The following is a 24746-nucleotide window of genomic DNA, read 5'->3' on the forward strand; positions in this document are numbered from 1 at the left end:
ATAATAGAAGTTTGGGGGAGTAAGCCTTTTCGTATACTACAGACATTAGACTGTGGTGGGAGAATAACTTGTACAGCCTCTTAGGAGGACACATTTTCAATGTCACATTAAAATTCACTTGGCTTTTGGACTTGGCAATTCTTTTGACTTGGCAATTGTTTGTCTATGAATATATATCTATTTCCCCAAGTGTACAAAGATAAATGAAAACCATGTTCATTATGACATTGTAGTAATAAAAAGACCAGAAACCTGAGTGTCCATAAATATAGATAAATAGAAGTGGTACATTAATGCAGTGATGTCACTAGATAGGTAATAGGAAGAATGCAGATAAATCAAATGTGCTGATGTGGAATGATCTCTAAGATATGTTGGTAAATACAAAATAAATATACAGGACATGTATAGCATGTTCTTGTTTGTATAAAAGGAACAAACGCACACAGATGGCTACTAGGTATCTTGAATACATACACACACACATGCCTAAAAGGATACCCAAGAAATTAATGGTGATTGCCTCTGGGAAGGGGGAATCTAAGGATCTGCAAAAGGAAGAAGGCTTAATTTTCCCTCTACTGCTTACTATCTGCATGGATTAGCATCGTAAATGCTAAACCCTTGTTTGTACTATTACATGGAGAAAGCATGTTTCCATAGAGCAAAAGTAGACTTCAGCCAAGGTTCTGTCTAAAATATAAATTTTTGAAAAACTGGCAATCTGTTTTAATCAAGTTTAATCAAGTTTTTATTATGAGATGGGGTCTCACTGTGTTGCCCAGGCTGGAGTGTGATGGTGCGATTGTAGCCCCTCAAACTCTGGAGCTCAAGCGATCCTCTCATCTCAGCCTGCATAACTGGGACTACAGGCGTACACCACCATGCCTAGCAAATTTTTAAAAAATATTTTGTAAAGATGGGTCTGTGTTGCCCAGGTAGGTCTTAAACTCCTGGGCCCAAGCTGTCCTCCTACCTTAGCCTCCCAAAATACTGGGATTACAGGCCTGAGCCACCATAGCTGGTCTTAATGAAGTTTTTAAGTCAGAAGGACCTTAGTATAGTCCTCATAAGGAAAGTTTAATATTGGTCTTAAAGTTTAATAATTGATCTTAATATTTTGGTACTTGACTCTTTAAACTGTCATGTGTAGACTGCATGGAAAAGTCTTTAAACCAGTGACCCTCAATCTTGCCTGACCTTGGCAATCATACTGGGTCTAAAACAAACCACACACAGATGCCCAACTCCTACTTGTAGATCTACTGTTCAGAATCTCAGAGGATGGGACCCTGGCACCTGTACTTTTAAATTGTTTTTCAGATGTATTTTTGCTCAGCTGAAGTTAAAACTGCTATATTAAATTGTGGCGTTTGTGTCTAATTTTAACTAAACAAATAAAAACAAAGTATTTATTTATGTATTTTTTGAGATGGAATCTTGATCTGTCACCCAGGCTGGAGTGCAATGGCACGATCTCGATTCAGTGCAACCTTCGCCTCTGGGTTCAAGCAATTCTCCTGCCTCAGCCTCCCTAGTAGCTGGGACTACAGGCGCATGCTGCCATGCCTGGCTAATTTTTGTACTTTTAGTAGAGTCGGGGTTTCACCATGTTGGCCAAGCTGGTCTTAAGCTTCTGACCTCGGGTAATCTGCCTGCTTCAGCTTCCCAAAGTGCTGGGATTATAGGTGTGAGCCACCACTCCCAGCCAAAAACAAAGTCTTACCTACCGTAGTGAAGAGTCTGTTTAAAACAAGACTATAATCATTTAAGATTTTTGAGTAATTTTCTTAAATATGGCTATTGAAAGGATTAGATGAAACGGTGAAAGTAAAGGGACTTGTAAACAGTTTGGGGTGATTTATCCTGACTCAAATTGCTCTATGTGCTTATATATCAGTTAGAGCTATATGTTCTCCCCTGACCTGTGTGCTCTGTACATATAAGACAGAGAATAATTTATCAGAGTCTTACACATTCTTGTCTGTTCTTAAATTGTTGATTTGGTGGTGGGTCTCAACTACTGGATTTTATACTCTTTGAGGGTAGGCATCATATCTTCCTTGACTTGGCATCCCCATTGTTCACACCGTTCCTGGCTCAGAACAGGTCCTTGGTAGACATGTACTTACTGAAATAGCAATCTAGATCATTTAATATGTTAATTAAAATTGAACTGAAACCAGCTAGTGTGAAATCGAAGAGAATAAAATAAACCATTTCTCTTTTTCCTGGTAGTATTAAATAAATTCATTTTAGTTTTTTGCTTGTAGTGCCCTTTTTTTTTTTGTACCCATTCATCTGTTTCAAACTAAGTCTTAGGTTAAACCTCTCTAGGTAAAGTAGATGAAAGTTACGCTGCTGTTTTCTGGGGGCCTGTATCTTTGCCTGCTTAACTCCAGTAGGAGCTGCTAGGGCTCCTCCGGTGTGAAAAGAATCAACCATTTAAAGTGGCATTTACAGTGTAAATGCATTTAATAGGGTGTCTATTTTATATAGCTTTAGTTAGTTGTTTTTTCTCATTTCATTTAAAAAAACGTAACACTTGCTATGGACTAGGGAATCACTTCGTTTATAAGTGTACAGTGTTCTACAACTGTTGTTCTTTGGGTCTTTGTAAGTTGGCATTATTGGTATTAATTGATACTTGTTTTAAGTGAATAATTTCAGTGAAATATTTCAAGAGATTCTTATACATGTATTAACATTATTTATTTTCTCTTTATTGTAGTATTTTTAAGTACAGAACTTCAAGCTTCACAGATATTACAGAACAAGAAACATAAAAATTCTCAATTAGATAAAAATAGTGAAGTTTATCAGGAAGTTCAAGCTATGTTTGATACACTTGGTATACCCAAGTCAACAACTTCTGACATTCCGCATATGCTAAACCAAGTGGAATCAAAGGTATTATCTTTGTTTTATTTTCCCCAAAATTCAACTGAATGGTAACATGTAAGTGCTATATTAAAAATGAAACTATTCCCTATAATTATGAGGTATACATTTTATTTCAAGAGTTTATCTTCATATAAACCCAGTTTTGGATTCAGACTTAACAGGCATGTGACCTAATCTGTCAGTAGCTGATATTCAGGAATCAAATCTTAATGAGTTACTGGCCTTCAGCTTTGCCAGAGTTTACCATGATAGAAATCACTTAGCAAATTTAAGGATCACTTTCTTAACCAGGGTTTTAATGTAGTATAAGAAAGAAAGAAAGAAGTAGAAGTAGAGTTATCCTACAAAGTGAAAGGAAACTAAACTTTTTAAAAAATGGATGTTAATAGAATTGCAGAGTGGTTTCTTTGGCAGTGAGCATGCAGTTTTTGGTGGATAAATGTTTAGTAAGAGTAAGTGCATTATATAATGAATGGAAGAATGTATTAATTAGTACCCTGATGGGGGTAGTTAAAAACAACTACAAACTATGTACCTTATGTACTTTGGCATTTTTTTTTTTTTCAGTTACTAAGCAACTCTTGTTCCCTGTCAAGCCATATATTAGAGAGGATGCTACTCTCACAGACCAAATTCTGGCCTAGTTCCTGGGTTTCATTTGTTAAATATGCAGTCCTCTAGGGGAAGAATACAGGATTCATTTTAAAGGAAAATAAAATTCTTGCCTAATCTTCAAGAATAAGTACATAACTCCATTTTTAGACACAGTGCCTTAAATTAAATCCTTGTTCAGTAAAGATCTCTTTTGCGTTGATAATTTATGAACTGAAAAATAAGGTTTGTCTTAATGTAAGAGAATTATAGTATCATTAAGATAAAAACAGAATATTAAAAAAATTTTTTTTGGTAGAACTTGCAAACCAGAGAGTAAGTCTGTGAAAATCAGCTCAAAAACATTCTTATAGAGTTAACAAGTTACTCTTCAGAATTTTTTTCTGTTTTCCTCTGGATGAAGACTGATCTGGGGTTGGCTAAATTTTCTGGGACTATTTCAGATTGAGACAGATTTCTGAGCTCATTATAATTCAAAGAGGCTATTCCATTTTATGGTTTTTATTTAGTATTAACATTCTCAATTACCTCTTTGCCCTACTTGAAGTAGTCTGTAATGCCTCGGTTCAAATACTGGCATACTAATTATAAGGTAGTTGTTACTATGGCCATCTTGGCTAAATATTTACTTAAAAGGTCTTCCTACTCTATTCAGTTTTTAACCAAAAGTAAACATTTTCATGTTTTCTTTCTTCTGCATGTGATGTGTCCAGAAGACACTTTGTTACCATTGGGGAAGGAAAGTATTATTTTCTAACTTCAAGTTGTTCAAATGTGTATTTATAGTGGTATAATTATAACAGATACATAGTGATGGTATAATAGCAAATATATAGCATTCACTGTTCTAAATGTTTACATGTAATAACTCACTTAATTCTCACATCACCCATGTGAGGTGGTTATAAATGTTTACATGTAATAACTCAGTTCTCGCATCACCCGTGGTTATGGGTAATACATCACCCCTGTGTTGTATTACCTAGACAACCATGTGAGGAAACTGAGGTACTGAAAGATCTAATAAGTTAAACAAGCAAATTTCTAAATGGTGGTAGACCTGAGGTTTAAACCCAGGTAGTCAACCTCCAGAGCCTGTGCCCTTAACTTACTCTATAACAAGTGATTTTCAGATTTATTAAAACTATTACGTAATGTTGGAATCCTAGGAATGGAGCTGAATGTGATTACACGTAACAAACTACAAGTATACATTGAGAATTCCTCTGGAGTGAGGAGTTACAACTCATACTTTTTATAATGTATGAAAAAACCTAAAATTGGATATATTTACAACAGTTGGAGAATCTACAGAAATGGTCCATTTTAAGAAAATAAATTAATAATTTCTTTAAAATATGTACAAATTGTATCAGTAGAGAAATTGTATCATTGTAGATGTAGATTTGCTGTGAAGCTACTAAAGCTGAAGTTTTGGGGTCTCTTATTTGCACAGGTTCTTTCTAAGCTAATTTTTTTAAAACACCATTTATGAAATGTAATCATGCCATAAAGTTTGCCCATTTTAAGTATATATATATAGTTCAGTGAATTTTAGTATATTTACAGAGTTAAACAACCATCACCAAACTCTTGAATTTAGAGCTTTTCCATCACCCTCAGAAGAAACCTCAACTGTGCCCATTTACAGTTACTCCACATTACAACCCCAGCTTCCAAGCTAATTTTGAATTCTTTCCTTAAAGAGTGCCCCCAACATTAAATAAGCTTCATGCTCCTTAAAATCTGAACTGCCCTTGGTTGTTTCCTTTGGTTACCTTGTAAAAAAAACTGTATTTCATTTGGTTTTGTAAATATTTTATTTAGCTAATGATGGATTCTCCAGTCAGGAAGGTAAATTAATCCTTTAGTTAGGAGGATAAATTATTGAATGACCCTGATATTGCTAAAGGAAAAGTAAATGCCTAATATCTTGTTTATCAAAATAAAAATGTTTCAAGTAATTTAAATTAGGGGCTTTGCAAAAGTAATGAAAATATGTATGTGATGACTGTAATTGAGAGAGATGGCTTGCTCCCTTATGTTGTCTTGCTGAACAATGAAACAAGAGTACTTACAACTGGAATGTGTACATAGCATTTATTTGAGAAAAATCAATGTGCTGGTTAAAGGTTTTAGTATCCCTTTTGAAAATTTACTAGAAAGTAAGAAAGTGCTATCTTAAGTAGGAACTCCAAAGTTATTTCACTAAGACACAGATTCTCATAGTAGAACCTAGGTACTTCTTTAGCTGTCTGTGTATGTTCGTTCTTACGCTGGGAAAGAATGTGCTCTATAGCTTGAATGAATATAATGTGCTTTTTTGAAAAAGATACTCTGTATTGTAGTGGTATTCTGGTATATGATGGTATATTTTAATTATGTCACTTTAATATTTTATTCTGTAGTGTTCAGAGCGATACTTTAAACAAGCATAAGATTGTTTTAAATTAGGAATATACATTTTTCACAATCTTTTATATTTACTTTTAGGTGAAAGATATTCTCTCAAAGGTCCAGAAAAATCATGTGGGAAAACCACTGCTGAAAATGGATTTAAATTCAGAACAGGCGGTAAATCCCCCTTTTTGTTATTAGTTTTATGTAATTACATTAGTGAATATGACTTAATTTTATAAATGAACATCTATTTTGCAATATGTAGCATGCATATATTATTTTGTAGAATTAAAATTGATTGATATTCTGGAGTAATATGTCCTAACATTTCTTTAGTTAAATTATTAATTTTTAAAAATACCTGGCTGAGGATATTGATAGTGCTCAATGTGCTAGCACAGTTGTGATTTGAAAAGAACAGAGGCTCAAAGCCAGCAAGATGAGTTATTGGTATTTTCTTTCCTTGTTGGTCCAGACTGCTTAGCAGGTAAATGTTTTACTTAAATTAACAAATTTGATTATAGATAAAGTATACTCTACCAACGGGTGGAGTTTAATTTGTATGTTTAATGTCTTCTGGATATCATAAATGTTCTTTCAATTATGCTTTAGTATTTAAATAATTTACCATAAAGTCTCATGGGAACAGAAAATGGTCAGTAAGTACATCTTTTGACTCAGTAGGAAGTACTTAGCACAATTTTCAGATTTCTTTTCTTTGCAGAATGAAAGAATCTAAAGTTTATTATTTTTGTTTCCAAATTTTTTAGGAACAACTGGAAAGAATCAATGATGCTCTTTCCTGTGAATATGAGTGCCGCCGACGAATGTTAATGAAACGATTAGATGTGACTGTACAGTCCTTTGGATGGTCTGATAGAGCAAAGGTAAGGCTGTTTTCCCATATGTGTCCTGTAGGTGGTAGCCTATAACAGCTCTTCTGGCTTGCTTGTCTGTTATGTAACCATGCCACATTTGTACTTCATCACCATCTCAACTACATGCCCAGGCCAACTACTGGTCTTACAAGATGATCCTGGTCTTGTATAAATCCCTGTTGCATATAACTTAATTTCTCCCCACATTTTTGACATTTATTTTAAACTCATAGATATTGTGATTTATGCCAGGATATGCATAAAAGAAGGGGCATCATATGAGATAATGAGATAGATACAGTGAGCAGTGTAAGAAGAAAGCAGGATATAAGAATAGTTGCAGGTAGTACTGATGCCAACAGGCCTTAAAAGTATCTTAAGGCTGGATGAATATAGAATGTGTTTCAGTTGAAGAGGGGGTTGGGAGGTGAGGGCATTTCCAAATTTGAATCTCTTCAGATAGCTTTCTAAAGAGCTGTCTCCCATCATTCCCATTTTATGCCTTTAATCTGTACCCATGCTTAGTCTGGGATCACTCCTCACCCCCGCTCTCCCTACCCTGCATCATTGCCTGGAAACTCTCCAGGCAGTAAGCTGAGATAATTATAGGGCTTCTCCTCATTTAGGGATCATTGTCCTGTGTTCCTTGATGTCCAGTGTCTGACCATCATTGGTTCACATCACATGGGTTATCCAGTTTTTTAGTTGTTTCAGGTGGGAGAGTTAATCTGGTGCCGATTACTGTATCTTGACTGAAAGTGGAATTTCAGGTATTATTATTTTTACATTTTTTGAATTAACTGGGCAGTTCTTCTGCCCCATGCTGGATCAGTTGGGGTCACTTATGCCAGCAGTTCCCAACCTTTTTGGCACCAGGGACTGGTTTCATGGAAAACAGTTTTTCCATGGAGGGTTGGGGGGCAGGGCGATGGTTTTGGCATGAAACTGTTCCACCTCAGATCATCAGGCATTAGCTTCTCATAAGTGTGGTGCTTCTGTTACCTTCTTGTCTTTCACATGACATCTCTTTCCATGTGATATATTAGTTTCCTATGGCTGCTGTGAAAGTTTACCACAAATTTAGTAGCTTAAGTAATACAGATTTATTCTCTTAAAATTTGGAGATTAGCAGTCCTAAAGTGAAGGTATTGGCAGGGTTGCATTCTTCCTGGATCCTTTAGGGGAGAATCTGTTTCCTTGCATTTCCTAGCTTCTAAATGCCACCTGCATAGTTTAGCTGTTGGCTTCATCTCCTCTCTTCAGAGCCAGTAGCCCGGTAGAATCTTCCAGCCTTTCTCTCTCTCTCTGCTTCCATTGTCACATCGCCTTCTGTCTCTGACACTCCTGTCTCTCCCTTATGAGAACCCTTGTGATTATATTAGGCCCACACAGATAATACAGAATAACCTCTCCATCTCAAGATGTTTAACTTAATCATACCTGCATCTGTAAGGTAGCATTCACAGGTTCTAGGAAATAGGATGTGGACCTCTTTGGAGGGCTAGTCAACTTACAAAGGGGCTTCTAAATGAATTTTATTTTTTCTTGCATTGTATTTCTGCAATATGATAAAATGCTTTTTTTTAAAAAACTATACTTTAAAAAATTAGGTCTTCTAATGAGTTCTCCATTTTCTGTATACTTTTTCTCTCAGAAACTTGCATCCACTTACTGCAGTTTTGCTGTTTGCATGGCTATCCTTGGCTGCTCTACTACCTTCTAGATCCCATGGCTCACTCTTTATTTACCCCTTGTTCTGCTGTAGGAAATCCACAAGTAATTTCCAAACAAGGAGTGCATAGGAGGTGATTTTTGTCAATCTCTTTGCATTTTGAAAATGTTTAGTCTGCTTTCACATTTGAATATAAAATTCTAGGTTGAAAATGTATTTCTCTAAGAATATTGAAGGCATTGCTTCATTGTTTTCAAGTATTTAGTGCTGCCATTAAGAAAACTGACTCCATTCTCTGTGTTTTTGTGTGACCTGTTATGTTTCTCTGTAAGCTTTTGGGCTCTTTATCCTTGGAGTTCTGAAATTGCACAATATGTGTTGGTCTGAATTTTTTTTCATTCATTGTGCCCTACTAGATGGACCTTTCAATATGTAGACTGTTTTAGCTTTTATATTTTCCTTTATTACTTTTTCCCTTTTTTCTGTATTCTCTTTCTGAAATGCTTTAGTCAGATATTAAACATTCTAGATAGACTCGCTTAAGTTGTTTTATTTTTTCCCCTCATTTTCTCTCTCCTTTTTTAATTCAGTTTCTCAGAAATGTTTTTAACTATTTTATACTTGGTGTTGAATTTTTGTTTCTGCAATTATTTTTTAAATTTCCATAAATTCTTTTTGATTCTTGATTTTTTAAAAATATATTTTGGTATGCTATCATCTTGATTAAAGATAGAAACTTTGCTTTTTTTTTTTTTTGCTTTCAATTATCTGTTTCCTCTAGCATAATTTTTTGTTTATTTGTTTTTCTTGGTCTCTCCCATGTCGGTGGCTTCCTCAGCTGCATGGTAGTTTTTGGTTGTCCATATTTAAGAGTAAAGCACTGGCTGGCCATGGTATTGTGTGCCTATAGTCCCAGCTACTCAGGAGGCTGGGGCGGGTGGATTGCTTGAGCCCAGGAGTTTGAGGCTGCAGTGAGCTATAATCATGCCACTGCACTACAGCTTGGGCGACAGAGCAAGACTCTGTCTCTAATGATAAAGGCAGTTGGGGTTGGGGGGCAGGTGCTGTGCTCACACCTATAATCTCAACACTTTGGGAGGTTGAGCTGGGAGGATTACTTGAGGCCAGGAGTTCAAAACCAGCGTGATCAACATAGCGAGTCACAGTCTCTTAAAACAAAAAGAAAAGAGTAAAGCACTATAAAGCCTATTGGGAACTACAGTCGTTATTAGGGATGGTTAATGTCAGGTTTTGGAGCTGGCCGATGTGCTGTGGCAATTCTTAATGCCAACGTGTAGTCTTTGTAGCTGCTCATTTTCTCAGGAAGATAAACCTCATTTTTTTTTCCTATATACTGTGTTTTTCTTTGTCCAGGAAAGGAGTAGCAGCATGTCACCAGGGGTTGGAGGGATGGCCTATTTTACAAATAGACTTTGAGTGTTTTGAAATGTTGGTTCCCTTTTTATCTGTCTCTCTTTCATTCTTCTTGTCATAGGATATATGTACCTTTTATAATTTAGTGTCTTCAGTATGATTCATTTACCTAGAAATCCTCCCTCGTGTGTTTTACATAGAGTCCCTTTCCAAACACCTGACAGATACAGAAAAGTGAAGAGTGATTAGAACAGGGATTGAAGACCATCATTCATGCATTTTCTTTAATAAACATTCAGCACTTTGTATATGTCAGGTACTATGTACCTGGTTCAGGATGAATATCTCAGTACTCCGTATGATTAGGTATAGAAGATTTGTGTGTGTAATATCTAATCAGCTTCTTGGGTGGTTAAAGCCTGATTCACTTCTGCATGTGTGCCAGGATAAACTCCAGGGATGTCTGTGTATTTCATTGGAGTAACTGCTTTGTGCAAGAAGCTCGAGTGCTGTTAAGAGCTGTAAGTTACCAACGAAGCAGATGACATGATTGCTTACCTCAAGAAATGGAATAGAGTTCAGATGTGTGGGAAGCACCAGCATTACTGAGCTCTGGAAACTTAAATAGAGGTTTTATCTATGTTGGGTCTCCAGTTTAACCTAACAGAATTTTAATGAGAAAAAGGAACGTAGGAATATTAGGCAAATTGTGAAGGGTATTTGCATTAAAATTGTCTTAACGTACTTTGATATTTTCAATGTTGGCATTAAGATTACAGAGAAATCCAAAATAAGTGAGTTTTGATATATTCTTTCAACATTCAGTGACATAGATTCATGGGCATGTTTGACCCCTGAACTGGACTTAAATGGGAGCTTTGAGCAAATATTCCTTTAGGAAATATCTTGATATTTTATCTTCTCATGTTGGTCTTTTTTCTTCATGTTTTAGGACAAGGAGTTTGTGTTTTTGTTTTTTTCTTATTTGGGAAGGTTTTTAAAAATATATTTTCCTTAGACTATGCATGGATCAGTTTTGGCCTTTCATTTGGTCTTTTTCAATTGATTATATGATTATATGCATTTGTATACTAAGTTTTCTTGTTGAATTTATTATATCTTTATCATTTTCTCCCTATTTTCGTGATAGAAAAATACGTCTGATATTGTTGAGTGACTGTCATCAACTTTGTTCTACAGCAGTTTAAATCTTTGCACAGTATTTTATTATATGCATATATATACTGTATTCATAGACACTGAGGTTTTCTCTAATTTTGCCTCTTTGACCCTGTAATAAAATCCTTGACAGCTAAATTTTTGTTCATGTCCATGATGTATTCCTAAAAGTGAACTATTTGATTAAGGGAAATGATTTTAAGGCTGTTGATGCATACTCCAGAGTTGCCCTTCAAACAGATTATAGTCATTTATTAGAAAGGTTATGTAGTTTCTTTTCTTCACTGTTTTACTAGTATTGAGATAATATTGTGAATGTAATTTTATAGCTTGCTTTTTCACTAAATATATTGTAACCATTTTCCAATATCTCTAAAAACTCTATTTTAGTACCCTTTTTAAAATTAACTCTTAATTTTTTTGAGATATAATTAACATAAAATTTACCATTTTATTTTTATTTTTGAGTTGTAGTCTTGTTGTTGCCCAGGCTGGAGTGCAGTGCCATCATCATAGCTCACTGCAACTCACTGGAGGGTCAAGTGATCCTCCCACTGTGGCCTTCGCTCAGGCAGCTGGGACTACAGACGTGTGCCACCACACCTGGCTAATTAAAAATTTTGTTTTATTTTTTATAGAGACAGGGTTTTGCCATGTTGCCCAGGCTGGTCTCAAACTCCTGGCCTCAAGTAATGCTCCCACTTCAGCCTCCCAAAGTGCTGAGATTACAGGAATGAGCCACTGTGCCTGGCCAAAATATACCATTTTAAAGTGTACAATTCAGTGGTTTTTAGTCTGTTCACTGTGTTGTGTAACCCTATATGTAATTCCATAACACTTCCATCATCCCAAAATGACATAGCTACCTCTCAGCAGTCATTCCCAATATTCCCTACCTCCATGCCCTGGCAACCATTACTATAATATACTTTACATTTCCATGGATTTGCCTATCTGGACATTTCATATAAATGGAATCATACAATATGTGGCTTCTGCATCTGGCTTTGATTTAGCATAATGTTTCCAAGGTTTATTCATGTCATAGCATGTAACAGTACTAAATTTCTTTCAGTATCCTTCTTATGGCTGCATTATATTTTATCATTTAGTGATTCAATAGTTTACTTCTCTTATTTTATACATTTTTTTCTATATTAACAATACCAGGCATGTTTCTGTGTTTAATTTTTATATATAAATTTCAGAGTAAAATTTTATGGTGGATTCCTTAAAGGAAATTTACTGTGTCAAAGGTTTTGTCTCTTAATGCTCTCGCTTCCCATGGCCAAATTGTTTTCCACTTAAGTTTATATGAATTTAAACTCCTTCCAGTAAGGTAAATGAAATGTTGTGTCACTTTAGCCTCTTTATTGCTAACTTGATGTTAAAAAGACTAACTTGTTTTGTCTGTTCTTATTATTGACAAAGTTGAACTGTTTTCATAAGCTTATTAGTCATTTGAATTTCCTCTTTTTAACTTCTATTTATGTCTTGTCATTTTTTTTTCCTGTAAAATTCTGTTTTCTTTTTGTGTTTGAGGTTTTTATATAGAAAGGAAGTTTGCTGGTTGAATTATTTGTTGAAAATATTTTCCCCAGTTGTCATTAGATGTTGTTTTATATCTTTTAAAGTACAGAAATTTTAATTTTTATAATGTAGTTGTTTTTAAATTGAAAATTAAACCTCAAACAGTTAACTTTTTGTTCTCTTTGGAATTCCCTTTGTTATATGGTGTGCTGTATTATTGTTATTATTACAGATAGCCACCAGGTCATTCCAGCACCATTTAAAAGATAATCCTTTCCTTTTCTCGTTGATCTGTGATGTCTCCTTTATCATTTATTGCATTCATAGATTTATGAGGCTCTGAGTCTCAATATACTATTTCATCAATCTATGTTTTTTTCTCCCAAGTTCTAGTTAATTAGATGGAGGTAGGATAGCAAACTGTTATCTATACTAGACCTGTGCTTGGGGGTCAGGTAGACCTTTGTTGCTAAGTGGGCAGAGCTAGGATTCTCTCTATATTTTGGGGAAACTAACTTAAGCTTTCTATGCCTCATTTTTTTTTTCCATCTGCAAAAGGGGATAATAAAAACCAACCACTCTAAAAGGATATTTTGAGGATTAAAGAAATAATGCCTTACTAAGTGAACAGCATCCTGGCACATTTAATAAGTTCTCATTAAATGTTAACTGATAAGATGATGATAATTTTGTATTATAGCATATTAGTATTTGGTAGGATTATATTTCAAAATGCTTTTAGTTATTCTTACATATTGAGTTTCTGGATTTAACTTTAGATTTTTTTTTCATTCTCTCAAAAACTATTTATATAGGATTATAAGTTAATTTGGGGGAAAACTGACAATAATACTTAATGTTCCCATACAGAAACTTGGTATTTCTTACCATTTATACAAGTTTTCCTTTTGTTTTTGCAAGATTTACTGATGTTTCCCTTTTAAATGTCCTGTATGTGGTTTTGGTAAAACTATTTTTTAGGTATTTTTTGTTAATATGTATAGAAATTTTTTTGTTATTATTTTTTAGCGAGTTGTTGCTGGTAGTTACATATTTTTAACACCTGTTGGTCTATTTTATTTGTTCTAAATTATTCATAAATTCTCAGATATTTGGGTGTTTTTGCTCTTTTCTAACTCCTTGCTTATGCATTATCTCCTTTTCTTTATTTCTAAAGATTATGATTGTTTTTGCTCTTTCATTAAAATGTACTTTTGTTCCTTTTTTCCTTAACTCTTGTCATTTAGGTAAAAACAGATGATATAGCAAGAATTTATCAGCCTAAGCGTTATGCTTTGTCACCCAAGACAACGATTACAATGGCACATCTACTTGCTGCTCGTGAAGATCTATCCAAGATCATTAGGACAAGTAGTGGCACCAGCCGGGAGAAGACCGCATGTGCCATTAATAAGGTTGGTGTTTCTTTCAGTACAGTGGAAAATGAATTGATGATATCTTACTTAATGTTTTTACAGATTTTAGTCTATTTTTCTTTCATGTCCTGGTAAATGTTTAGAAAAAAGAGTGGCAGGGGGGTTCAGTCTAGGCTTAGTTATGTTATTTTTGTGTATGTGTGTATGTTCACTTGAATTTGTGTATTCATAAATCAAAGTATTTTCTGAATTAGAGGAATTATGAATTGTTTTTGTCAAAGCTTTAGCAAGAATTATGTTCCATCTTTCTAAAAAGTAATCATTTTTTGTCAGTAAGAATCTTTCGGAATTGTTTCAAGTACTGACAGATTCGTTATATCCTTGGTGTAAAGGGAAGAAGAGTTTGTGCTTTAGAGTCAGACCAATCTGGGTTCCCATCCTGGCTCTGTCATTTACTTACAGAAATGACCCTGAGCAAGCTACTGAACTTCTTTGAGCTTCTGTTTCCTGATTTGGAGTATACATCCATTTCTCTGACAGTAGTCTATTTAAACAAGCTCAAGGAGTCTGAATTTTTCACTTTACAACAGCAATAACAATAAAGTAATTTAGTATGTTTATGTCAGCTTAACTGGCATGTCCTCTTCATTTAGGTAGAGCACTCCATGGCAAACTTTATTACAAAAGAGCAAAAAATCAGAAATAAGGGATTTGGATAATTTTAAAGCATCGCTTCTCACTCAGTGTAACTTGAGATAAAATACCTTTTCAGAGGGATGGTTGTTTTTAAAGTCATTTTGCTAACTATTGCTAAGTTAGGCATCACCAGTGTTTGCCTCTGTGCTTCCACTGTGGCTCAATCCTATGTTCTGAAAGTGTTCTCTCTTTAAATATATTACCTAACATCTTGCATTGGGTGATAATTTAGTCTTGCTGGATCAAGAGTTCTATTTCTGTAAGTAACATTGGCCATCTCTTCTGAGTTTATAATTTATGGTCTCATTATTTGAGGGTAGTCTTATGATCAGTTCTGGCATCTCCATATGCCCACCAACATACCATGTTTGGTAGAGAGACCAGTGAGAATAATAACCAAGAAAGGCTGTTTTTTGGATTTGGTAGTTAGGACATCATTGCCATCTTTAAAAGAATGTTGCATACTTAGAACCTTGTCTCACTTTGAGGATATTGCACTTTTTATATTTCATTTGTGACATAAATCCTAAACTTGGTTTTGATTGGAGGATCAATGGAAGTGTATAATTAATTGGTCATTTTGGTTGAGGCAGTTGCTTTTTTACTTTCTTTCCTGAAAGGCAGTAGCAGGAAGCTATTGGCTTCCCCTTGTCTGTGGTGAGCAGATGACACCCTTCTTATTGCTATCTTTCCTCTGCTCATGGCATATAAAGCTGCTACTTTTTATAGAAGGTTGGATACTTAAACTCTTCCCTAGTTTATTTTTGAAAGGATTATAAAGCATAGTAAAGGAATTATATTAACTGTGTTTTCCTTTTAATAATATGGTACTAGTATCATCACTGAAAGTAAGTGAGCTTAAGTTTCTTAAAAGAAGCAGTTCATTGAGAATCCTTCTCTCTCTTTGCAGTGATACCTGGAATTATAGTTTTTATATCAATCTCTGACCTCATTAAGGTCCCATGTTATATGTACTTCATACATTTTTGAAATGAAATGTGCTTAGGAATATAATCTTTTATTGGATAATCAATTACCAAATCAATGGCAATGGAAAGTCCAGAGTTGTTATTGTATAAATGGATATTAAGTTAATGAATGTAAGGTATGTCGTTATATATATAAAAAATGTTTTCCTAAAAGAACTTCTTAGTGAAATGGGTACTACATTTGTTACAGAATTTGCTAAACAAATTTAAGTGAGAAAAAAATTAAGCCTTTAAGTTTCAGAAATACTCTCTCAGATTGTTTAAAAATAATATATTCTAGGCTGGGTGTGGTGGCTCATGCCTGTAATCCCAGCACTCTGGGAGGCCGAGGCAGGCGGATCACGAGGTCAGGAGATCAAGACCATCCTGGCTAACACGTTGAAACCCTGTCTCCACTAAAAATACAAAAAATTAGCTGGGCGTGGTGGCGGGTGCCTGTAGTCCCAACTACTCGGGGGGCTGAGGCAGGAGAATGGCGTGAACCCAGGAGGCAGAGCTTGCAGTGAGCTGAGATCATGCCACTGCACTCCAGCCTGGGCAACAGAGCAAGACTCCATCTCAAAAAAAAAAAAAAAAAAAATATATATATATATATATATATATATACACTAAGGAATTTGTCATGTATCACACATTTTATATTTTTTCATATTTCCTTTTTAAAACCATTCATTTTTTTCTTTTTTCTTCAGACTTGGTAAACAGGAAGTAAAAAAATTATTTTTTAAATTGAAACACCATAATTGTACATATGTATGAGGTACATAGTGATGTTTTGATACATACAATGTATAGTGATCAGACGGGGTGATTGGCATATCCCTCTCAAACATTTATCATCTCTTTGTGTTGGAAACATTCAATATCCTCCTTGTAGCTATTTGAAACTATATATTAACTACAGTCATCATACAATGGTATAGAACACTAGAATTTATTACTTCTGTCTAGCCGTGATTTTGTATCCTTTAACAGATTTCTCCTTATCCTTCCACACTTAATATTTTTAATATTAATTTGTTCTGCCATGTCTGGTACTTTCATGTCCTTAAATATTGGCTTCTGTTTATTAGAAACAACATCACTTGAAACTTTTATGTAAACTTTTTTGAAATATTAGGAACTAAAAGAAAATGTTTCTTCACACAGGTGCTGATGGGAAGGGTGCCTGACAGGGGAGGCCGGCCGAATGAAATTGAACCACCACCTCCAGAAATGCCCCCTTGGCAAAAGAGACAAGAAGGCGGCGGTGGAAGGGGTGGTTGGGGTGGTGGTGGTGGAGGTGGTGGTAGAGGAGGTGGTGGGGGTGGGGGTGGGAGAGGTGGCTGGGGGGGTGGAGGAGGAGGTTGGGGAGGTGGTGGGGGAGGGGGAGGAGGGTGGGGGGGAGGAGGAGGAGGTGGTAGAGGAGGTTTCCAAGGCAGGGGAGATTATGGTGGAAGAGGGGGTTATGGTGGAAGAGGGGGCTATGGTGGAAGAGGCTATGGAGATCCATATGGAGGAGGTGGTGGTGGTGGTGGTGGTGGTGGTGGAGGAGGTGGATATAGAAGATACTAAAAACTATAAAAATTAGATAGCAGTGCTTGCTTCTTTATAGATACATTAGAAATAGTGTTCCAAATAACATACTTGAATATCATCTTTGAAGTAAACACCATGTTAGACTCCCTGGTGATACCACTCTTGAATTGGTTAATATGTAAGAACATTGTTTTTTATTACCAGTTGATCTCTCAAATGAAGTGATGACTTTTTCCATATTCTGTGTACCCTTGAGCATGTTGTGTCTTTTTAAAAAACAAAAAAAAGAACAAAAATTATTTTTTAAAATGTAAATATTTATTACCATCAGACTTGGAAAATGGAAAGTATTTTATTGTCATGATTGAATTTAGATTGTTACCTGTATTTTGTTCAGGTTTGAGACATATAAAAGACCCCACCTGTAATAGAAAGGAATATAGACCCTTGCCTCACCTGTATTGCTGTGGATGTGTTTTGTGGGTTTTTCATTCGATTTTACAAAATAGGGAAAGGCACTTCCAGTTGTATTTAGTAGGCAGTTGTTGTGAATCATTTTTTTCTCTTATAGGAGGAGATTCCTCTCTAGCCATGTTTCTGTTAAAGTTTCATTAATTGAAGCCCAAGTTTACTTTTTACTGTACATACTTATTTTCTAATTGGATTTGAAATCAGCATGATTTTGTTTGACAAAGCAAAGTTTAAGATTGAGGTCAGAAATACTTTAATGGAGCAAAGACACATACCAACTTTACATGACGGTGTGAGAAATAGTCCTATAAACTGGTCTCTTCATCATTTATGCTCTCACTTTAGATATCCAAATATTAAAAGGCAGGCTGACCTGTATCACACAGAATTAAGGCAGTAATTTTCTGCTTCAGTAGATCAAGGGTAGGGCTAAGGCATCCTGTGGTAATTCTGATTCACAGCTAGATTTGGGAAACACAAAGTTAGGGAATGGCTATATGTGATTTGCTAGTTGGAGCAGTCAAAGTCTTAGCTATCAAGAGTTGTGAATTTGAATCATGGCACTAGGTCAGGGGTGCTATGGATTGAAATGACCTTAGTTCTCAAGGAGTGATTTGTCCTCATTTGTCAAATGAGGAATGAGACACTTACCATCATCTCAGGTTGTTTCTTAAAGACCTAAATACAAATACAATTTGTTAAAAACTTACAGAGGGCCTATTTTGAATGCTTTAAGATGTAGGCCAAGTAATGTATTTTTCTCTTAGTGTAGAAAGTTAAGAGAAAAAGAGCTGGTACCATAAATTTTTTCAATCTTAGTGTAAAATCTGTATCTCATTGTAGGCTTCTGGTCAATACCTATACATAACAACTTAATGTGATCTAACCAACTCAACTGATAGAAAGCTGAATTGTTCCCAGTGGACAAGTGGTATTTGATGTTTAGCAGGTTTTTTTGTTGTTATTTTTTTGGTAAACTCTGTGGTAAAATCTAAAATAATGTTAAAACCCTAAAAGTAACTATTGAATATTCTGTAATCTTAGACATGTATTTTTCAAGCTAACCCTTTGAAGAAATGTGTTCAAGGTAGGAAAATATAAAATTTTTTGGTTATTTGTAAATTTATTTTTTGTGTGTTTATATTTAATGAAAAGATGTAATTTCATTTGTGATAGCTGAAAAAAAGGCTTTCCATAATTAAGAAAATACCTTTATCAGTAGCTATGAACTCTGAAAAATAATTTTTAAAAACTTTTAAGAAAAAAACTACTTGAGTAAAATATTTCAAGAGTTGTTTAAAAATCTTCTTTAAAACCTTTACATTTCTGCCTCACTTCTTTTTTGGTAGCATTAGTTGCTGATGAAGGAGATTTACAACTACTTTCAACTTTTTTACCACTAAAGGTTTATGGTAAATATGGCAGAAACAATAGTTTATCAGTTTCATTAGATTTTCCATAAGATTTCTTTGTACCTTTATAGGAGTGCTGCTTGGGTTATTCACTACAATCACTTATTTCCTATCAAAGTTTAGCACTTGCTCCTGGAATCGTGTTGGAGCTGAAACCACTCCTATGTACACATTCCTATAAACCTTAATTGAATGAAAAGCTGAATCAGGTAGACTCTTAATATTTTACTCTTTCCTGTAAGGTGGGATTTTCCTGATAATCTTTGTTCAGTAAAAATTTCTTTTGTAGAACAGTTTGCTGAGCAGTATCTGGAATAGCAGGAAGGAAATTTGGGGCCTTAATGGGAAAGGCCATAGTGTGAAAATGTTTTATAAATTGAGTGCAATACGACATGGAGTATGATGAATGGCACTCCACTGCTTCCTAAAATCCAACACTTTTTTTGATACCTCCTTTTCATTCTTTTTTGCCTGGTTCTCAATTTCATTTTTTAATTACCTCATTGTCCTTCCCCTTTTTTCTTCTCTTTTTGTCCAGCCTGGTACCTAATAGCAAATATAGACATGATCTTACTGGGAGTTTCTGCCTAAAGTAGTCATCTTTCCTCTCGACCGTATAAAGAGCATGTATTCTGTCTATAACATAATCACCACACTATTACTCATAAGCACACATCAAAAGGGAAACAAGGGTTTTCTTTGAACTTACTTTTGTTTTGCAGATCAGGGAAACCTTGCCTCATTAAACAGAAAAAGGAAAACATTTTAAATAAAAAACATCTTATTACCTGTATCTGTGACAAGAGGAGGCATGACAACCTAAAAAAAATTTGTGACCAGAAAAATGTCCTGAGCAGTGATACTATCTATACCTTGGAAGGAGCACAGGTTAGAGAAATGTGGGGATGAAAATTGGGGAAGGTGAGCAGGCAGTTTAATCTTGCCTTCAGGATCAGGCTGTCAGTGTGACTTTATTACTTTGTATGAAGTATTATGAATTGCCCAAATGATAAATACACCCCCATCTAAATGTTCCAGAATGCATTCCACAGAGGAATTTGAGTGACTGAAATTTTTCCTCTTTCTTCATTGGTGTGGTTAAACAAAAATTAGCTGGGGATTAAGGGAAAATTGTGGCTATGTCTGATCATTCTAAATAATCATGACCACAAATAAATTGCCCTGAGTAGGTCTGTAACCTGGATTGAGCTGTCGTTACCAATTTTATCCATAGCTTCAAAGGATTTCTTCTTTACATGCTAGTTTGCTTAGATGAAACTGTGGAATTAAAAGCCACAGAGAAGGGACAACCTCAAGTCTGTCTCCTTTAATGTTAAGTATTTATAGACTTAATATTTGGGGACCACTGTAAGTTATGAATAAGATGGAAAGAGATTGAATATTTCTGTAGTGTTACTTCTTCGTGTTGTAAAAAGATGTAGAAAATTTTAAACTGAATAGCTGCTTTGCCTTTCCTTCCAGGAAAACTCAATTTGATTAATAGAATAGGGCAGTGGTCTTAGCTGTGGAATATAGGAAAAATTCAGGTAAAGTGTTTACGGGGTCACGAAGCAGAAGAAACACAAGACATTTGTGTTGTAGGGATCCTAATGTCTTTTATCATATAAATATTACACAAAGAAAACTTACATTAGGTATCAAAAAACTTTACAATCTGTACATTTGTTTTTTTCTTGCATTTCTATATTATACATTTTGAGACAGAAATTCACAACGGTCAGTAAAAAGGTAAGTCAGCAAAGAAAATGAGAAGTGACCCTGCTGTTAATACAACAAGATTTGTCCTTGTTTTGGCAGATAAATACCTGGCCAAACTAAAGTCGTGTGAGATGCAGAAATTTACACTAGGCTTGATAAGCCAAAGCCTTTTTTTTTTTTTTCCAGATTTCTGTGATCCCACTAGCCCCATGTTGCTCAACACAAATACTATTAACTTGTATACTATACCTCTTTGGCCCTTGCTGGACTGTAAAAACCTGTGACTAAACTATTTCCTCTTATCCATTTCAGTGATAAATTCTGCAGTACTTGATACTGTTTAGCCATTGCTAATTTGACTAATTAAGTGGACTGTGACACCTTTTGAATCCCTATAGATTATTTATATAAAAACTAACTGGGGATCTTTACTTCGAATGGAGAGGAGGAAGAATGAAAAAAATTGTGTTCCATTACTGTTTTAAAAAATTAGAGTACACCATCTTTGGTCTATATCAATCAAAGGAAAACAAGAATAGTGAAGAATATGAATTTTTAGAGTTTGTCCTAACTCATGCTTGTCCTATTAAAAAGAAAGTAACAAAGTGTTACTATAAGTTTATATGCCAGGTAGTGGGCTTAAGCAGGCCTGCTTTGGGTATTTCTGAGTTTAAATTTGGAAAACGGTAAATACGTGTGTAAAACTATTCTTTATAATGTAATGAAACACTAACTACAAGCTAGTTCTATATCACTAAAACTCAGTGCAAGGAGGAACTCAAATGGGAACTGATCTTTCATCAAAGAGAATTCCTAAATGATCTGAATCCTCCAGGTAAGCAATACTGTATGTATACTTTGTATTCTTATGAAGACTTGGTGCTATTGGCTTTAGTTTGGAACTTTTAATTGTTAACATATTCTTGGCAATTGGACAACTTGTTTATGAATTTCAAGTCAGTCTGGTACCAGACTTTATAGGCATGGAAGCTAAGTACCCCCAAAAAGGAAAATGATCATATGATTTTTTTTTTTTTAAGAGAACTAAAAAGAGGCTGACAAATGAATTTGTGAATAGGTGCCCAGGCAACTAAATGAGCCCATTTATTATTAACCTTCATAATAGAAAACTCACAGGATTGTTACTTGTGATTTTGCCAAACAATACAATTTTACCTTGTGAGCAATTTAATCTTGTGACAAACTGAACTTTATATTTGTGACTTTGTATAAATGACTAAAACTTGTTTAATTCACTTCCACATTTTATGGAGGAAACAAAATTCCAAGCCACATGCATGCCTGATATTGTATATACATATTATATACATATGTACACACAGTCAGCTATTATTTAAGCCACTGATCCAATTAGCTTATTTCTAAATAGTATTAATAGTGAAGACAGTTAAGCACAAATTCATTTCAAAAAGAGAACTTTCAAAATAGTTTACTTCAGAAGAGAAAGATGGAACATGAAGAGTTAAACAGACTCTTCATAGACTTTTTTTTTTAAGCCATCAATTCCTAATTCTATCCACTGTAGAATATATAAGGACAAACATGTTTGCGTTATGTTTATTTTAATTAGACAGTAATATGAGATGGTAATAGCTATGTTTCCAGGTACCTAATTTGATTACTTATTTTCTGATGCCTGTAAGTTGTAAGGCTACAACTATAAGTTGACCTGCAATTGGATAACGTCATGTTTAATAGGCCTCTAAAAAGTTGTGGCTACATCAGTAGAAATTGGCTTCTAGGTAGATATGCTCATGTGTTATGACTGTAGTGAGGAAGGAGGGTACATGGACTAATTGATTAGATCTGAGGTAGTGAAGAAGGAGCCAGGTTCACAAAGTATGCTGGGATACAGAGGAAATCTACTTTTGGAATATGGGTAGTTTTCTATTATTAGCAAGCTTTGGCTGGAACAAAGTAAGTCAGTTTGCAGAAAACACAGGGTAAGAAGCAAATCCATTTTCCAGAGATTTTAGTTTTAAGGAAGAATCAGCCAGGCAGGCCACCGAGATGCCCCATTGTCAGGAAATGATAGTCATGTTTTAGATCGCATACTTTTGATGAACATCAGTGGTATGAATAGCAAAAGTTTTGCATTCTTTAGTTTTCCCCCTTTGAGTCAACTAACTGAAAGAGAAAACAGTGCTGCACATTAGGAATCTTTTAGGTAAATAAACAGTAACAGGCTTTTCCTTTTAAAGTACTGTTTTAAAGCTGGTCAGTGTAAAGTTCCTCAGGTCTGTGCATTACAGTTTAGGAAATGAGATCACTATACTCATCTACAGATTGTGCTACTTAGTTTCTGGGCTAAGAACAGTCACCCTGCTCCATTTGAGCTAAGACATGATTGCTTTTTTCAAGCTGGAGGGATTCTATTTTCTTCTGTGCATATTTCAGTTGGATCTTTAGGGCATCATTATCTGCTTTCAGAGTATTTATTTCCTAAAGGGAAAGGAGAATGAGGTATGTTAATAAAGCAGCAATGAATAGCAAATGAATTACAAATTGAGAGCTACTTTTGATTGGCATTTCCTATTCACTGTGGCTGAGAATTAACAACCATTTTCAAGATAGTTATTTTGCCCTGAATAGAAAATAGCAAGTTAAATATCAAACGAGCATTTGTAAGCAGCAGTTAGTCTTTGTTATCATATCAAAGTTTGTGAGTGGTTAGCAGGCAGAATAAACCATTTCCGAGCAATAGGTAGATAATGACAAAACTTTTGGATGTTTTCTCGCGGGAGATCTCAACTTGGCAGAAACAGTCTCTGGTCAGGTCTGAGCCATGAAAGCATGACTGAGAATTCTGTAATGCAAGGTGTTAGTTAATTTTATCTAAGTTTCCCCCCCACAAATTATTGAAAACAAATTTAACTTTTTGATGATGTTAAGAATTTCACCCCACCCCTAAGTTGAGATTTAGTGGTCTAATTTGTAGTGGTATCATTATAGAGCCAACAGTTGATTTCCAGTCTTCTGATTTTGAGTCCAGTGTTCTTATGTTATCCTATACTGATTACTCCAAGAGAATATTATATATAGACAGTGTCTGGGTAATTTGGGATACACTGGGTTGTTTCTCAATCTGAATTATCTACATAGCTGTCTCAGCTGCCATATAATAGTGAGCACTTGCTATGTGCCTGCGCTGTGTGACATAATGGACTGCCTTAACCTACACAAACACCCTGAAAATAGGTTGTATACCTCAATCTTATAAAGGCAAATGTTGCCGTATAGTATAAAACTGCAGAGTTGAGCCTTGGTATATCTAAACATAAAAGCTTTTATTTGCTTATTCTTTTGTCCCATGCTGGTTCAGTGGTACATTATACTTAAAATAATACATAATATTTATTCTTATTAATATACGTTATATATTGTAAATACTGATTTAATTTGACTAGTTATTATGGATAGGACTGTTGAATTACACATAGACTAGTCATTGTAAGGATTATACTTAATGGGAAAGTGGGACACATAATTGTTCCTCTAAAATACACACAGTGAATTCTGGACCTTAGGTCTATCTGACAAGCCTAAAAAGTAAAGAGAGGCGGTGGTCAAAATGGTGAGAGGGTTTACTGGCTCTGATGTTGCTGAGTAGGAATTCTAATCTTTCTGCGAGCCACTTCTTAAAGCATTGTTGCCAACCACATTTTTCCTTTTCATCGGCATGTAAAATGTCAAGATTTGAGGCAAACCTTTCAGAACATGGAATCCCAGCCCTGTATTTCACAAGGACCAAATAGGCTGTAGAGTTTAACAGCTGGTGTAAGAAATGTCTGGGACTGAAAACACAAATCTTTGCCTCCAAGACCAAAGTTCTTTCTATTCTACCGAGTTCATTTTTCGAGGTTTCTTTCATCATTTTTAGAAGTTGCATTTGGCAGTTTCTATCCCTAAAGAGGAAGGGGTTTGTCTAACCCACGTTTTGCCACCTTCTCATTGACTTGGTTTTTACAGCACATCTTAACAATAACTCTGAGCAA

At 35.0% G+C, this 24746-nt stretch overlaps 2 protein-coding genes across 8 annotated transcripts in view; one reads left to right on the forward strand and one right to left on the reverse strand.

The window, feature by feature from the left end:
• FAM98B (family with sequence similarity 98 member B) overlaps positions 1-20215 on the forward strand; it is a 33584-nt gene extending 13369 nt beyond the window's left edge. Inside the window, exons 4-8 of the mRNA NM_173611.4 lie at positions 2732-2910; positions 6010-6090; positions 6687-6803; positions 13797-13964; positions 16760-20215. Of these exons, the coding sequence (NP_775882.2) occupies positions 2732-2910; positions 6010-6090; positions 6687-6803; positions 13797-13964; positions 16760-17164 (950 nt within the window). The 3' untranslated portion in view covers positions 17165-20215. The remainder of the gene's footprint in view (positions 1-2731; positions 2911-6009; positions 6091-6686; positions 6804-13796; positions 13965-16759) is intronic.
• Positions 20608-24746, reverse strand: part of RASGRP1 (RAS guanyl releasing protein 1) — a 76712-nt gene continuing 72573 nt past the window's right edge. For all 7 annotated transcript variants that reach the window (NM_001306086.2, NM_001128602.2, NM_005739.4 and 4 more), the window contains one exon: positions 20608-23193. In NM_001306086.2, coding sequence (NP_001293015.1) covers positions 23168-23193 — 26 coding nt within the window. In that variant the 3' untranslated portion in view covers positions 20608-23167. The remainder of the gene's footprint in view (positions 23194-24746) is intronic.

The sequence above is a fragment of the Homo sapiens genome, chromosome 15 (genome assembly GCF_000001405.40).
Source record: "Homo sapiens chromosome 15, GRCh38.p14 Primary Assembly".
Lineage (NCBI taxonomy): Eukaryota > Metazoa > Chordata > Mammalia > Primates > Hominidae > Homo > Homo sapiens.